The sequence below is a fragment of the Homo sapiens genome, chromosome 8, assembly GCF_000001405.40.
Source record: "Homo sapiens chromosome 8, GRCh38.p14 Primary Assembly".
Classification (NCBI taxonomy): domain Eukaryota; kingdom Metazoa; phylum Chordata; class Mammalia; order Primates; family Hominidae; genus Homo; species Homo sapiens.
Window position 1 is genome coordinate 59,621,225 of NC_000008.11, and position 18,887 is coordinate 59,640,111.

Here is an 18,887-nt window from a genome sequence, read left to right on the forward strand (position 1 = left end):
AAATCATACGATGTTAGGCCTATTTCACTTAGGATTAGGTCTTCAAGATTCATCCATGTCATAGTATGTGTCACAATTTCCTTCTTTAAAGAAGAATAGTTTTCTTTTGGATGTATACCATTTTCTGTTCATCCATTCATATGTTGATGGACATTTGAGTTGTTTCCTTTTTTTGCTCTTGTAAACAGTGCTGCTGAAACATGGGTGGAGAAATATCTGTTTGAGTCTCTGATTTCAATTATTTGGGGAATATACCTAGAAGCAGAATTTCTGGATCATGTGTTAATCCTATGTTTAATTTTTCAAAGGAACTGCCATACTGTTTTCTACCATGGCTGCACCATTTTACATTCCCATCAGCAGTGTACAAGAATTCCAATCCCTCCACAACCTCACCAACATTTGTTATTTTCTGTGGGTTTTAAAAAATATTTCTTATAATAGCCATTCTAAGAGTATAAAATGGTATAATTGCTTTTTGACATTCAGTATATTTATTCCAACTCTTTTTTTTTCCAGGCCATCACCACTTTTGGTTTTAATTCTTCCTTTTTATAGCTTAGAAACTTGTTAACTCAAAGTGGGGTCTCTGGAATACCAGAACAAACATCATCTGGGATTTTTTTCAGAAATAGGGATTTGAATCAGAATCTGCATTTTAACAAAGGCTCCAGGTGATACACATACAAATTAAGTTTTAAAAAGTGCATAGTACATCACATTAATTACTCTTGACATCATTTCAGGATCTTTCTATCTCTGTCTTTCTGCTCCATGTGCAGCACACTCCTGTAACCTTCAATTAATCCAAACATCTATATCTACGCTTCTATGTCTACACTGCTGGACATTGTTATACAAAATTCCACTACCTGAAAGACTGTTGTTATTACAAAGTCATGATTTCCAACCGCATGTGGATCCTCACCAGCTCCTTTTAAAGCATCTCTTGTAAATTCCATTTCTCATTATGTAAAAGAGCAATTTTGATTTGCAAAACTCCTCTCTGTTGCCTTTTCCAGCCCATCTCACTCTTTTCTGAAAGGAAGATTTTGCATTCTTCCTCAGTGAGAAGATAAAATAGGAGCCTTCAAGTGCAAAGCCTCTCAACTGAATGTCCTCCTCCACTTACAACCTAATCACTTACCTTTCTTCTAGTGATAGGAATGCAGTATTTTGATCTTTTCAAGGTTTTATTTCTCTATCTGTGGCCTGCATCATAACTCCTTTCTCTCCTTCAGCCACTTTTTCTCAAAAGGCTTCCCGTTAAATACCATTCAATTAAACCTGACTATTGATTTCACCTGCAAGGCTCATTTTTCTGCAACGACTTCAGATAACTCATAAACAAATGATTATGTCCTTCTCGAATTCAACTACACTCACCTCCAAGTACTTGAATTGACACCTGTCCCTTTTCCTAAGAATTATTCCTGACTATGCTCACTCTTCTCAAGTCAATTTAGGGCTTTCTCTTTTAACCCCCTATAATGCTGGTGCCTGACTATCTTACAGCACTTATCAAGCTGCATTGTAATTGTTGCCATGACTGTCTCCAAAATCTAGACAGTGAACAAACTGAAGGCAAGAATTTCTTGTACTTAATCCCATTTCTGGCATATGGCAGATGTTCCGTAATGTTTGTTAAGTGGCTAAATCAAGTGCTGAAGTGCGCCCACATTCTTTCCACTGGCTCAGCACTGGTAGCAGTAGATCCTCGCCTTGATGTGCCTTGACCCCATGGCTGGCTTCTTGCATCCTGAAACGTGCTATATTCCTAGGTAACTAGAGGGTGTATTTTGTGTTAGGAGAATCATTCTATAGGCTTTAACTTTCTGAGACCATAGTTTCCTCCATGTATGTTAATTTTGAGCTCATTATCCGTTAAACAAAGGAAAAATAATTTATTTGTAATTTTAATTAGCATGTCAAATTTTGGGGGGACTCATTGTTGCTAAGTGAAATTGGTTCTCTAATCTGAATTTGGATCAATTTCTACAGCATTTCCAAGACCAGCGCTTCTCAAATTTTAATATGCAATAAGATTACATGGGATTTTGTTAAAATACAGATTCTCAATAAATGTTGCATCTGCAAGTCTGAGTTGGGCAGGAGATTCTGCTTTTCTTCCATACTCCGAAGTGGTAACAGTCTGCTGGGCTGGGGAACAACACTTTGGTTAGCAACATCCAAGACCACCACCTCGTGTTGTAAAATACTAAATTTTTATTGTGTAAATTAGATCATTGCATGGCTAAGCATAGGAAGTGATATGGTATATCAATGATGGTTATGTAAAATTAAAGATCAATTAATTATTAAGTTGATAGTTACCTTTATCACGAGTCAAAAGAGGTGAGTAAAAGAACATCAAAGATAATCATTTTGTGTTTGTTGTTTTAATACTAAAAGCTATTTCAAACTATGAAAGATTACTTTGGAATGATTTATGACCTAAGACTTGAAGCAGTATAATAGAACTTTAAAAAGAGGAGAGTTATGTCGAAGACACAGAACAAGGTCTTACTCTATATTTTCCAGCCTGAGTTAAAATGTAAGGCATGACAGTAGAGTTGCTTATCTCCATAGGGCATGATGCATGAGCACCTATTTGAAGCAGCCTGGAGCAGGGTACAGGATGAGGTATAGGAGCAGGAACAAGCGTGTCACCAGCACTTCTCAGGAGTTCTGGCTGGGACAGCCGCATTGACCAGGTGGAAGGTGCCCTTGCTACTGAGCAGTGTAGTGGCCCTGCATTTAAGCTGCTGGTTCTAGAAGTGTGGGTAGGTAAATTGGCCCAGATTTTGAGCTGCAGTATAGCTATAATCCTAAAAATTGGAGTACCAGAATGTTTCAGCTAGGCAGTGGAGGATCCTAAGTGGGGTTAGATCCTCCTAAATGAGTGTTTTCAGTCCTGACTGCACCTGTGAATCACATGGGTTATCTTTAAAGCCCCTCACTGCTAGGCCCCCACCCTCACAGGTTCTGATGTAATTGGCCTGTGGTAAGACTGAAGCATCAGTAGTTTTAAGTTTCCCAGGTGATTGTAACGTGCAGTGTAGATGGGATCCACTGCTTTAAGTGCTCCCAGGATAAAATTCCTCCTTTGTAGACTTGGCAGAATGTCTTCCTTTATAGCTGGGCCCCTTAATTCTAATTTGCAGGCTTAGATTGATCTCCTTCTTTAAGATAATGGCTGTCAAACGTCAGCAGGCATTAGCATCACCTGGAGGGCTTATCAAAAACTAGATTGTTGGGGCCTCATCTGATAATTTCCCATTCCAGGTCTGGGGCAGGGCTGAAATGTGCATTTCTAACAAGTCCCCATATGGTGCTGATCCTGCTTCTCTGGACACCCCACTTTGAAGACCTAGGACAAGGCCTGATCTTCAAAAAGTGGGATCCTGATCTTAAACTCAGGATGAAACTGCCTTTGTAATATTTCTAAATCCTAATGATGCTAAATTTAGTCATGGAATCTAGACTTAGGCATTACTGCCATAACTCAGCCCTCATCCTGTCTTCCAGTTTAGATCCCTGGCTTTCTACTACTTTTTTCACTCTTTCCTAGCTTGGAAATCCAAATATGAAAATTTCTAATTTTGAATCAGAAGCCTTGGGTATCTCAAAGATGTTAAGCAATGGGTTAAGATGAGATGCCATTTAGAAAATTATCTCTGGTTGTGGGGTTGAGGATGGGTTGGAGAACAGCTAGTGAGAGTGGTTACAGGAAGATTGGCAGTGACACAGGCCAGGCAAGGGCAATGGCATTGGGATGGAGGGAAGAAAGCAATTTATGAAATAGTAAAAAAATTGTTTGACACAATTAAGTGATGACATGTTAAGTTGAGAAAGAATCAAGGATACTTCATCACGATCCATGATTTAACAGTAAGATAACTAATAACAAAAAACTTATCACTAGTTATTACTTGATACAATGTATTTTAAGGAGTATAATAATTGTCACTAAATGGTATGATGTAAAAGAGATAGGTGTTTGTTATATCCTTTATAGGAGTAATGGTGAGCTTACGAAGTGTCTAAGTTTGACCCTGTCCCAATTTTATCTTTTTATAAAGGAACAGCTAGAAACACAGATGGTTATCTAAGATCCTTCAGTGTTTTTCACCAGGAACTGTTATCATGTTAGAGTAAATTAGATTTCTTGAGGGAAGTGTATTAATTCTTCCATGACGTAAAATAACTTCTATGTAGCTGGAGATTAGGAATGTATCAGACCTCGAAGAGGGGAGGCTCAGAATTTCAGCAGTGCACACCAGTGCTGTGCATTTTTCAGGACAATGTGATTTCTCATTTTTAGCATTCCATCCTAGCAAAATTTCAGATTGTCTCATTCTACTTCTTGGAAATGAACCCAATAAAATGGCAAATATGCTTAGTGAGCCAAAGAAAACATTTGAAGTTGAATTTTACTTCTTTAATGTTTTTTTCTTTGTTTTAATTGCTAAAGGACTTCTTTGTCTTTAAACATGAGATTGGCATTAAATTAATAGAATGATTTAATCAAGTCCTCCTGGTTTACAGTTCAGAGAACGCTAAGAAATGAATAGTCAGTATTATAGCTAAGTTTTCACATGGCATGAATCATTGCAATTTCCTTTGCATTTTTCTGGCTAGAAAAATAATACAGAACCAATAACAACCAAAGATGAGGTGTCAAGGAAAACAGGAGCTATGAAGTAAAGTATGTAAAGTTTTATGGAGCTGCCTGGATATCAAAGTTGTTTGTATAACTCAGAAGAAGTAATCTGATCTGGTGTTCCCAAAATTCCTTAAAATATTCATCTAGAAAACAGAAGATATACTCTGGCATCTTGAAACACTTTCTGTCTTGTAAGACTACATCTCCTCTAAACTGTGATCCAGGATAAAGCTAAATGAGAGCAAAAGGAATAACAGTTGGTGGAAATATAACAAGATGAAATGTACAAGACAGAAATATCCACTGTAAAATCCCAGATGTACAGAAGTGATTTGTAAGTTCAACCGTCATTGTTAAATCTTGTTTTAATTTTTTATATATTTTTTAGACTTACAAATTACTAAATGCTGTAAAAATGTTTTAATATTAGTGAAATTCATGTTTCTGATTTTAAGCACATGTCAAGTGAGAGGATACTGAAAGGATCTTCTGAATTAGTTTTTTTCCTTTTTTTTCTCTGAATTAGTTGGAAGTATTTTTAAGATAGTTCCATAAAACTTGGAAATTCAGATGTCAATGTAAAAGATATATATAGCTTTAGAGCCAAGGCTTCACTAATTTAAAAAGTTATATTTGGGGCACTATCAGAGATATCCATGATATACAACACATCCCATTTACAGAAAAACCTTGCTGTAAGAATTCTGAACTTTTATAAAAAAAAATCTAGTATGTGAAAAATAAGCTTCAAATGATTTTATATGGGGGAGATTAAAAATTTGTTCAGCTTCTTTAAGCATGGAGAGCACGCAAAGGAAAATGGAGAATAATCTAAAGTCAGAGCAAGCAAAGCAGCGGTTATCTTGGTTTTACGTGCAAAATGGATATAATGACAATAAAGACCATACATGTTATAGACTTTGCAATAAAGATGTATAACAGGGCTGGACATCTTTATTTTGCAGCTGCAAAAGGGCTGTATTTTGCTTTGGAGCTGAACACTAAGTTCTGACACTGCTTGAAAGTCTTGGAAGAACTTCTGTGGTTGAGAATTACTATAAAATGAGCTAATGCAACTCTGATCATTCCATTTCGTCTTTACATTAATTAATTAATTAATAATTCTCCTTAGCAAACCAAGAAAACTTGATATATCAGAACGTTAATTATTTACTTGTCAAAGTACTGAATTAGACCTGGATCTGTCTGGGGAGGGGTATGATATATTAAGTACAAATGCTCTGAAACACTAAGAATGGATACAGCTTGAGACAGGAAGAAAACTATGACATGGATGCAAATTTAAAATGAGAATGAAGGTTGGACATCCAAATGTCTTCTGAAGCAAGACTACCCCTGTGAAATAATAACAATAATGGTTCATCAGAAAATACTTAAATGTTTGGGTAGGAAAGTAGAAAACGGTCCAGCATCTGATTTCTAAGTTTCCTTTAATGTGAGCCACCCTGTATGCAATGGGATGAACAATCCCATGGAATAATGCTGAGCCTGACTCTTAGTTGGGTGCATCTCAAATTACCTCATTAACCATTCCTGGCATTTTTGCTTCTGACTACCAGGAAAATGCTGCTTGTCCTCACGTTCTTCAGCAAGATTATTTTCTTACAATAATAACACTGTAATAATTCTTTCAAGGCTGAAGGTCACTTCAGTTGCATTTCTGTTGAATGTTTTTATTACCAAGTTTCATAGAATTTCACAGGTCCACGAGGACCAAGCATTATGAACTTCACAGCATGTATTATTATTTGTAAAATTAAACAAGAAGGTGTCAGCTAACAAATAATAACAATTATTATGACTTCTTAGCTTCATATCTATGTAAATTACATTTTTAACTTTGCTAATCCTTTCTCATCTCTCACCACTTTCAAACCTTATGAAAAATCCTATAAGATAAACCAGGTATCTCTTATTATCTCTATCTTAGAGTATATTGAAGTTCTTTTAGTTTCAGTGGTTCACACTAACTTAGTGTTACAGTTCAGACTAGGACTAATGCAATAAGAAATAGAAAATATAGGAAATTTTCCATAAATTATAGATATTCACAAGTACACACACATACACACACACACACACACACACACATATATACTTGAATTTTCCAGATTATTGTTTGAGGATTATATACAAGTTTTGGGGTAAGGGGGTTGAGGTTGGACTTGAACCATTGAGCTTCCTTGGGTTCATGTAATGCACTGTGTATAATACTGCCATATGCATAAATGTCTTGTGCCTCAATAGAATAAAATTTCCAGGGTAATGGAAATGAAAGTCTCACAACTGGGAACTATTAAGAAAATGGAATAGAATCAGCTAAAACAATTAGGTACATTTTATAGACATTTTTGTATAATCTTTCAAAAATGAAGTCAAGTGTAAACCTAAAACTATTAGTAGAGAATAATTGTAGAAATAAAACCAAAAAATACTCTGCCCTTTTGTACGCAGCATTCTGAGGTATTAAAACTAGATATTCACTGCTCTGTTAAGATCGATTTTTTTTTTACAACTAACTCAAATGCTGTAGGATTAGAGTTATTGCTCTTTAGATACTAAATAACGAACATCCCAGCAGGGCAGTTTTGTGAGTTACATATGATGGCATAACCGTACATCAAAGCAATTCAAGTTAAGAAACACATATTACTTCCTGGGACAGAACATTCACTTAAGATTATAGATAAAGAACATTCTCTTAAGGAAGGAATAAAGGCTAACTTGACTTTGAGCAATGGTGAGAATTTTCTTTTGAGGATTTAAACATGCCCTCAATCTTGGGCCATCTTACAACTCTCTTTCTTTTTTCAGGCCTTTGATCTTGCCTTCATTGTTGTTTTAATGACTCTGAGCATCTCCGTATATGTTTTGAGTTCTTTGACCCTTTTTGGAAGGAGTTTCCTATGAGTGCTTGTTATTAATAGATGAAATAAATAGCTAGAAGTCTGATAGCATTTGACCACATAGTGAAAAACATGACATTTGTCACAACTAAAGGGTAGGAGTAAAAGAACTATTGAAAGGGTGGAAATAGAGGGCCACTTGAATACTTAGAATTATGTTTCTCAGGCCAAATTTGAGGGATATTATCTCTCTCTAAGCAGATAAAATACTTACTAAAAACTTGGGCACTCCTGGTTATGAACTCACTAGTAATTATTTGCTAGTGAGAGGAACCTGTTCCAATGAGACCTTCATTTAATGACTAGACAGTGTGCAGGATAGGAATACAATGCTCCGATCATAAAATACACCTGTTGATTTGTTTTCAGGAGAAGTGTTGGAGATGTATTTAATGAACAAAGTAATATGCACTTTTAAAGTCTTGTTAACTATTTTAACTTTCTATTTAAGTTGCTAAAAGTTGTAACTTGGTAAATGGTTTCCTAAGAAGCGTTAATATATAATGAGTGGTTTGTGGCAGGATGTGTGATCTACAGTCCCCTCCTTCATGTTCTGGAGCTGCTCCTGATGGAAAGCACAAAGAAAATCCTACCATCTTCATCTCTTCACATCCCAACTCTAGCAGCTGGACCAAAAGGGCGTATTACCAGGCATCTCTGTGAGGCCCCAGCAGCTGTAGGGGTGCTGGACAGCCTTATCGGATTCAACCAATATCTACCATGTTACAGGCACAAATTTACTTCGATGCTATGTGACAAAAGCTTTCCTATTACCCATTTACACAAGGACACTGAAGCTGACAGAGCTGTAGGTAACCCAAAATTCCTGTTTCTAAATCCATAGGCCTCACCTGATCATACCCATTTAAAACAAATAACGAAAGTATAAAACAGTTAAATAGCAGATCATCAGTAAATGAGAGTAATAGGAAACACTTTGGGAATTCTAAAGCCTTTTACTTTGTCTTCCAACACTAAGATAACAGGTATTCTTGTGCGTAGGCCATAACCCTAACTTTCATTAGTGTAATTTTTCTAAACACCAATCTGAGTAGATCTAGTGCACTCCACACAAGTGAAGAATATTGGTGGAGGGAATAAATGAATGAATAAAGGGGGAGGACTTATCATTGAAAATTCTTTCTATACCCTTTAAACTTTTTGGTAAAACTGCCTGTGATCTCACAATCACACATATCTTTGAAACTATTCAGTGCTTTCTGTTTGCCGCGTATAAGCAGGTCCCAAAGCTTTAATGTCTGACTCAATTTTCTGCAGTCTATTCATGAATACTCTACATGACTGCAATAAATTATAAACCCTCCAGATCCATGTGAATGCATGCATCTTTGGATACCTTTACAAACCTCATGGTAGGTCTGTATTGAAGTACATTCGCTGTAATGTGTTTCCATTAGAAGCAAAAAAACAGCCCATTTAAAAATTGCTTATAATGATTGGCACAGATATCGTACATTGGCAAATGACGTTCTTTACACATTTTGCATGTACTTTATGTAGTTACGTACTGTTGTGTATTACTATATGCTTTCTTGTCAGCTATTTACACTCGCAGTGTTTATTTCTGAGCCCATTCCATTAATATCTGTTATCTTTGGTTATACTTTGAAAAATCATTGTCTTAAAAACTTAATTTAGAATACTCCTGGCCATACACTTTAAATATTTCTCCCAAAACAACTTGAGAAGCAAACGTGGTTTTAATTTTCTATAACTATTTATCTTTTAGTTGTACAACGTGTTTCCTGCCGGTAGTTTATACTCACATCCAGGTGAAGGGGGTTGCCAGTGTTACATCAAAAAATAAACTTTAAAAAGGCTCTCCAAAAGTAGTGTTTGGAAACTATTCATTTGACCTTCAGTGACAAAGCTTATGCCTTGCAGATTGATTAATACAGATACAATATCAAATCATTTTTCATACAATTTTTTAATGTTTGTTAAGTGCTGGAGCAGTATGTAAACAGAGTATTTGGCATTTTTATTAGGCTGCGGAACTCAGTCATTTCCTTTGCAACAACATCTCATAAACTATTTTGACAGTCTAATAAACTATAAAAAGCTGTGGTAAAAACTGGCTCTGAATGTTATAACCGTACAAAATGGAAAGAGCAAGAGAAAACATCTATCACTGGGATTATTATCACTGTTGCTATGGCAACCTGGTTGCAATGGCAATATCTCCACGGTTCTGCTGTTTGTTATCATCTTTCTTGATTTTACATCATTGAAATTGTAGTAATTACACTGTGCCTGATGAAAAATGCATGCTGTCATGGCAACTAAGTCAAATATTCTTAATCATTTCACCTCTTCAATCTAAAATGTAATTGTTTGTCAGTAAAATAGGTTATACAGAAGGCTTCTATGGACTTATGATTGCCTTAAGTGTTTAGCAAAAAAAAAAAAAAAAAAAAATAGTGCTTTTAGGCTCAAGACCCTAAGCTAAACTAATAGCCTGAGATGGTAAACAATGACTCATTATAATAAGTAAGTAGCAATAATTGTAGAGTGACTTCTCCAATGTTTTAAAATTATAAACCATCATGACTTTAATATAGTACTTAAAATCAAAGACATAAGAGAGTATTTTCAATCGTCCTAGTATATTCAATAAGTTATTTGAATCAGATGTTATGTTAATTTTGGTGTGTCCCTCTTCTATGTTATGAGTCAGTGTCTTCTGATGAATATACTTTGGAATGTTTTCTTCTTCTGTGAATAATTAAGGCACAAAGGAAGAATCCTCTTTGCAAATGTGAAAAACATAAAATAAGACATAAAAAGAATGCCTTTCCAAATAGAGCAATTGGTTATAAGTCCATCAGGTATACTACAAAGTAATATATTTTGTGTAGTATTTTCACAAGTACATGATTTTTTTTGCCATATCTACCTATGTATCTGAGTAATATGTGTATCCTATTAGAACAGAATAGAAGAATCAATACATTTGTGCTATAAAATGGCAAATTTATCCTCCTGAGTAAATATCCATAAATAAATTGTAAAATTTTAACAGTAACATGAAAACCATAGTACACATTTTTATAATTACCTAAATTCTATTTCCGCTGAAGGATGGAAATTTAAATTGAGTCAAAAATCTTTTGTTTTGATAATAATAAAATTTTTACTGCTTAATTCATATTTCTTTTTAATATTTGAAGTAACAATGCTACAAATGAGAGCAGCAAAATAAGATATTTTATGCTTTTTCCAGAATTCATGAATAGTCTAATTATCTTTCTTCTATCTTTAGCTGTACTTTACATTTGGAAACACAGAATAAGCTAAATATTATATTTTCTGGGTTTTAAATTCATGAGAAAATTTTACTGCACTTAGAAAATTATACATTTTATTTCAAACATAGCCAGGCATAATTTCCCCATCTCTGTACCTATATTTCTTCTTTAAGTTAGCGTGTCATTACTTTTCCATTAGAAACAGGTACTAGCTAGCTGTAATATGATTAATCCATTTCTGCCAAAAGCAGAAGATGTCTTCGCTATTGTAAAGCCTGGATTTTATCAACATTGGGGGAGGGGTGGAGAAATGAAATGCAAGTATGTATTTTCGGAGCTTGAGCACCAATGTGTTTATAACGATGATAGTAATTTGATTGTGATGGTGGCTGTTTGCTTCATCTTTAATGGATTTAAACATAAAATTGCTTTAAAACTTATTCATTGCTTCCACATAAAAAAAGTATCACACAAATAAAATGAATATAAAATACTGAAATGGAAACAGATCTGTCATTAATAATAATTTTAGCTAAGAGTGAAATCTTTTAATAAAAACATCAAAAAATCAGTTTAACAATAGACTGAACATGTTACTCATACCTGTTTAGGTTAAAAAAATTATGTTGCCAGTGACTATTAACATATTGTATTATAAGGATAGAAAGCAAACAGTGTGTAATTACATATTTCAAGAATGTTAAATAATGTATCATCAAAACTGGAGGTTATTTAGAATTATAAATTCATAGAAATATAACATGAACAACAGTCAGCCTAGAGACCAAAACTACAAGGTAACTATCCAGGAAGATAATATTTGTTTGAGAATGCTAATATTGATAATATTTTAAAATAGCATAATCAGTTTTCCAAAACAATTACTTTAACTCTGGCTTCCTCAAGAGTATGTCTGTGGTTGAGTGGATGGTTTCACAAAATAGTACCCACTGTTATAGCCATATCCCTTATTATCGCCTCCTCCTGCCCCACTAGGATTATGATTAATACTAGACTTAAACATTGTAAAAATACATATGTGTATATAAAGTACAAAAATAGAAAATGTTCATGGCTCTGTATTAACTTTGAGCCTTCCTCTGGCTTTCCTTTCAGCTTGTTCCTGCTTTAGTATTTCTTAACTTTCTACTTTCTAATTAAAATTGCTGTGAGAAATGGATTGGCTCGTCTCATCCTTCTTTGGGCTGAACGTTCCCCTGGGGGCCCTTCTCTAGCTGGGGGACTGCCTCCCTGTAGGCTGTGCCGGGATGCTGCTCCCCTTGGTCCCTTCATCAGCTTAGTCCCTGGGCCCCCTTTCTTGGTCCACTCCATGCTGGCCAGGTGGTGATGGAGTCACATGGGACACAGCAGGATGGCACAGGGCTGATGCTCCCACAGGAAATGTAACATTCATGTCTTCATCAAATCTGAACTGTGCTTGAATGACGGCGAAGCACTGTTTGAGGCACTTGGGGCTGTGTTCCCATTGGTGAACAAAGTGCCACGAATTCCTGCCCTTGTGGGCTTCCGTAAGCAGCCGCCATTTTCCTTTGAAGGAGCTGAACATGGCAGATGCCGTTTCACTAACTCGCATCCTTCTCCATCCACTTCATAATGTGGGGGCCGATTCGGTGAAAATATACAAAATCACATCGTGAACTCTGAAGTGGTATAGAAACACGAGTGATCATTAGTATTTAATCTAATTTCTCCTCCCCTTCAGGAAATTTTCTCCTTCATTCTTCTCACTGTCAGTTGGGAGCTCAGGGAATTCAAATTAATTTAAAGATTAGACTGAGTAAAACATAATTAGGAAGGTAAATGTTCTGGGGGTGGGGGAAGAAGGGCAGCAGAAAATGCGTTCCTGACATACATATAAATGACACTGGCGTTATCTGCCATTTTTACATTATCTGTGCACTATTGCTGTGTCTTGGCATGGATAATCTGAAGCTGACTAAAGTTATACAAGAAATCAAACTGTGTAAGTGGCAACAGTAAGAGTTTAGGCACTTCAGGAGCAAATTCCAAAGACTTCCCTGCATGGAGGTAATTTAAAAATACAAGTTAAATATGGTTTTCATTATTGTGTTAAACAGACATATTTGACTGAATAAATTCTATCCTGAAAATAGAAATACACCCTAAATTTGAGCTGTATATCAAGACTATAACATTTTTTTCAATTGTTTCCTTAAAATACACACATGCAACAATGTCATGTAGGACAGAATTTGTAGAATATGGCTAATTTAGATCTGTTGCTCAATCTGTGTGTGTGTATTTTAACAATTTTTATATGATGATAAATTTCAGGTATCTTCTATTAATCAGAAGCTTCTCATACCTAGAGAAAAGCTCTAATGATAAAGTTCTCTATAGACTCCAAGGGAATCCTCTTAGAATCCTGATTGGTCAATATTTTTATTGCTTATTTTTTTTCCCTTTGAAACAGGCTATTAAAATAGTCATAATTAAAGAACACCATATTGGAAAGGTTTTTATAAATGGAAATCAGATTATTCACATTTCTTATAGAATATTCTCAAAAAGTCAAAGATATAAAAACTTGAAAAAAAAAGCATATTGCCTTTGTGAATCACAAGTTAAATATTAAATATTTCTTACAGCCTCCAAGGCAAAAATACTATTAAGGTATTGAAAATCTGAGCAACCTTTCTGTGCCACATTTAAACATCATTGATGGAGCTTTTAGGTCAGAATGAAACTTCTAGATTCAGTAATGTGAATTTCATTTCATTGTGTAACCTTCTTAGAACTGCCTGAAGGCTCAGACTAATAATACTTCTAATAAATGACAAGCTTTTTAAATATATGAACTCAGTCCAGCATTTAAGCTAAGAATGTTTGAAAAGGCAAAATCTCATTTTTCTTTCATTTTTATACCCCATCTGAAGGTAAAACCACAAAACCAATCTGTAAATTGAAAAATATAAATTTGAGAATTGTTCTATACTCTTTTTTATGTAAAGGTTTCAAAATCACAAGTCATATATAAGCAAACCAGGTCAATATTAGCATGTTCGGTATCATTTCTAATCAATTTCCATGTTTTTGCTGTTAAATGGAGCTAAAATGATCAGGTCATTCAAGTTATGTCAATAAGGCAAAAATCATGACTTCCTTTTGTAAAGGTATTGGGTAAGTGAGAGGATCAATCTTTGTAACATCATGGTTCACCTTCTAACTACACATGTTAAGGTGTTATATGAATATTCATAATGGCTCAGAGAAGCACTTTAAAATAAAAGCTAAGAATTGAGAGAAGCAAATTCAAGTTAGCCATCTAGTACTGCATTTTTACTTAGAGTACTATTAAAATGTTAGTGGATTTCTTATTCTCAGTAGCTACCTGCTGTCTAAAAGATTAAAGTCAAAGTCTCGAAACTAGGGCACAAAAGGGAGGACAGAGAAGTGCACCACAAAGCATTTTCTTGAAAAACAAAACAAAATTGTCATTTCTCTGATACATGAAATTTCCTTTTTAAAAAAACATACTGTTTCCATTAGGTCAATGATTTAAATCCTACCCAAGTCTTGAGTGAATGAAAATCTACTGTGAATGGGGACCTAATGCACAGGAAATGCATTCTGGGATTAAGGCTCTCAGTCTAACTGCTGAGAAACAAAATCACAGTTTCACAGTCATCTTGTTAGTGTCAATCTGAGATTTTCAGAATAAAACCAAAGAATAGGTATGGCAGCAATAGTTTTCTTGGAAGATTATACTTTGCTAAACTCTAAGGGAACTATTACTATATTACATTATACTATATTTGAAAGGAATTATTAGTATATTTGTATATTACATTCTCTTCTGCATCTATTTTTTAAATATCTTTAAAATGCTGTTGTTTTAGTAGGACTTTTTGGTTTTAAGTGACTAGAAATACAACCCAAACTAGCTCCAGAAGAAAAAAAAATTGTTGGCAGTTTCCAGATGTGGCTGGCTTTGAGGCTCAAGGATGTCTGGAGCTCTGTCTCTCTCCAGCTCACCTTTCAGTCACAGCTCTGTCTGCTGGCAAAATGGCTCCCAGCTTCAGCCTCATTTCCTTTCATTTAAATCCCAGTAGTAAACAGTGAGCCCTTTAAAGGAAACTCTAGGAAAACATCCCTGAGGTTCATTCTGCTTGTTGTCCTTAATGGGACTCAATCATAGGGATGAGAGAGTGAAGTCATTCTAGTTTAGGCCTGCATTTTATGTACTGCCTCTGGATTCTTGGTGATATAGCTACACTCTGAACATGAGCCTCCTAACACGTATAGATCCTCAAACGAAAATCAGGATATGGGGCTAGAAGAAGGAGGAATACATGTGGGTGAGGCACTCAACACAGAGCCACAATCATTGTCAATGTTCCATCTTCCATTATACTTTAAAAGTATTGCATTTGCTTTCCTGCTTTTGCAGTTCTTGTTTTCTGCAGCACACGGAATTCTCTCTCAGTATAATATTAACTCTTGCTTTGTGACTATATTTCATGACTGATGCAATTATGTGTTTGGGTATCACAATCTGTAGTTTAATGCAATGAGTTAACTCTTAACAGAATGAAGCATAGAAGTGATACCAGAGGAAGGAAAGGTAGCATGCTTGGCAGCCCTTGGGTGGGCAGGATTCTCAAAGGTAATAATAATAGAAGAGCTTTGGGTAGCTTCAAATTACTTTTTCTTTCTAATTGGCAATTAGTTCTAATTAACTTTTAATTAATATTCAATGTTTTCTTTAACAAATGGAACCCTGATGAGATCACATCTGTTAATACCACTAAGTTTCTATTTCAGTATTCTACAATTTTCCATTATGACTATAGCGAGTGCAACTTCAGACAAAAAAGTGATAACCTTTTAGGTAGGATGAAAAGGTGGCCTGACTTAAAGTCATTGTGTTTTAAACGTAATTTTAGCAAAAGCTACGACTCTATGAAATTGGATTTTGTCCTAGAATCTTACAAGATACTATTAGGAATTAGAAGTTACTGCCTCATTTTTGTGGCTTCAGTGAAAATTCTTTTCAAGAATTGAAAACTGTATAAAAGTCCCTCTTTTTACTATGATGGACACATAGAACATAATATAGAACATAGTGCATAGAAAGATGCTCAAAGGTCTCTTCCATCCAGTTGTTTTGGAGATAAAGCTGAAACCCAGGGAGTATTTTGGCTTGTCTGTGCAATTCTATACAACAAATATTAAAAGGAACAAAAATCAGAGAACTCTGCAGATATTTTACTTTATAGAAAGATGAACCTTGCAAGAAGAAAGCTCTGTTTTATTATCCTACCATTAGTTATCTTTGATTTACCAAGTTGCTTTTAGATTATTTGTAGACAATATTTTTTGTTTGTTTCATACTTTAAGCTTTTTAGTTCAGTTGATGTTTTGGCTTCTGGCTTGGATAATTGTTCTTATTATCTCTGTTTTATTTGTGAGCAAGCTTTTAGTAAATATTGTGGATCCATGTCCTTTCAGATTATCTCAATTTTACCTTTGATTACGATAATTTTTCAAATATGCTTCTGCAGTTGCTCAATATTAAATAAAACTGAAGCCATTTTTCATCATGATGTAGGGGTTAAGAAGAAAAACTGGGGTTCATCAAGTAATTTCTCAATTTCAGGCAGAAGTCAGAGTAGGCAAACCACAGATGCTTCTGGCTAATTTTTGGTTTGAACATCCAATTTCATTTTCCTTGATGACAGGCCAAAATTCAAAACTTCGATTTTGAGAAGCAAAATTCAACTGCGCTGACTATTCTTAAAATTGGCTGCAGAATTGCAGTTTAAGGACTAGCTTATTTGAAAGAGATTTTGGCCTTTGTAGAATAATAGGGAAGATGGCTATATTTGGGTATATGGGTTGTAGTTACTTATTTTCAACTTGAAAATGAAAAATCATTTGCCAAAACCCAAATTTCCTTTTCTTCATTGATCTTCTATTGCCCAAGATACTTTGGAAATATGAATCAAGGTTTCTTTTCTTTTTAAAACAAACCAACCACCCTAATTATAATAAGCAGATGAAACTTAGTGGCAACAAAAGTAATATTTGATGGGAATGAAATCTTCCATCTTGAGTACATATTTTTAGAACAGTAGATTATTGGGTTTACATTATATGCTATAGGAGGCTCTTCATTTTGATATTTGATGAAACACATGTAACTGTTAATAAACTTTCTTGGACTCTACATTGGAAATGGTATATATTTTTGACATGGAACTTAGGAAGAAATAGAGGGATATATGATTGAGAACTAATCATTTTCAGATTCTAATAACACTATTAGCTTTATTTTTCTAAGCACTTAGCTTCAGTTTTAATACTGAATCTTGATTTTTTATTGTTGGGATTCTGGATGATGATGCTTCTGACATCTTAGGTTAAAAATTTCAAACAATTTTTTTTTTTTTTAAGACGGAGTCTCACTCTGTCACCCAGGCTGGAGTGCAGTGGCATGATCTTGGCTTACTGTAAGCTCCGCCTCCCAGGTTCACGCCATTCTCCTGCCTCAGCCTCCCGAGTAGCTGGGACTACAGGCGCTGGCCACCACGCCTGGCTAATTTTTTTGTATTTTTAGTAGAGATGGGGTTTCACTGTGTTAGCCAGGAAGGTCTCGATCTCCTGACCTCGTGATCCACCCGCCTCGGCCTCCCAAAGTACTGGGATTACAGGCGTGAGCCACCATGCCCGGCCCAAACAATATTTTTTTAAAAAACGTTTTTCTTGTGTACTTAAGAAGGTAACTGTGGTTTTCAGCATCATTCTCTTATGACAAATGAGTACCATTCTATTGTTAATAACTTGGTACCTATTGAATTTGTGATTCTTTTTAAGTGATCTGTAAAGGGAATGTTGGCATAATTTTACAATACTTTAAGAGGATAGTAAACCACACATAACCATTATTGTAAATAAACTAAAAATATAAAAATTAGCTCTTGGAGATTGATAGAGTAGAAAATATTTACACATTGTACATATTCCTAGCAAATGTTGAACTTCCCATATTAAAATATTTTAAGAGGATAGTAAACCACACATAGCCATTATTGTAAGTAAACTAAAAATATAAAAATTAGCTCTTGTGAAATCGATAGAGTAGAAAATATTTACACTTTGTACATATTCCTTGCAAATGTTAAAATTCCCTATATTATTAAGTATTGGCTACAACCAATCAGCTAGAGAAGATAACTTTTTAAATTAACTACTTAGACAAACTATAATCCAATCCTAATTACAATTGAAGTGAAATCAAAATTCAAAAGAAAATGCAATACCAAAATAACATTTGGAAATTCAAAAGTGATGAACAAATGTCAAAAAAATTAAAAATTCCAAATAAAATGAAAAGTCAAAGGAAAACTTACTTTCTTTACAATCTCACTTTTAGAATTTTTCAGATAGAAATTATTAAGCAGAAATAAAAGTTCATGTGAAAAAGGACATCCATTGCGAAAATATATAGCAAAAACTGGAAAATGATCCAATTGTCCAACAATATTGAATGCTTATGTAAATTATGGCATCTAATTTCAGCAGATCATTATGCACTCAGTAAAATATTTAAATTATTCAAAATTGTATGTACCTTGTGTTATTATGTATTTGCATTTGGAAAAACTAGGAGTAATTCAATTAAAATGAAAACATAAAAAAGAATTTTTAGAAAAAATTATAGGTACAGTTTTCTTAAAAATCCTATTATCACGTGGTCTTTAGTACCTTAAAATGCTAACCTTGAAAAACTGCTTTTATTGAAAAATCTTACCATAAAGTAGCAGAAGTTTTATATTATCTAGCAAGTATAGAACTTCTTGCATTCAGAATTATCTAATTTAAAATTAGATGATATTTCTAAAGTTCATTGTAAAGCAGTTGTTTAAAACATGGAAAAAATGCATTTCCTTGTGAAATGATATATTAATAAGTAGAAATATTGTACAATTACCATGGCAAGAGAAGAAACACTGTTGTAAAAATGATTAAAACAGGTTTTGA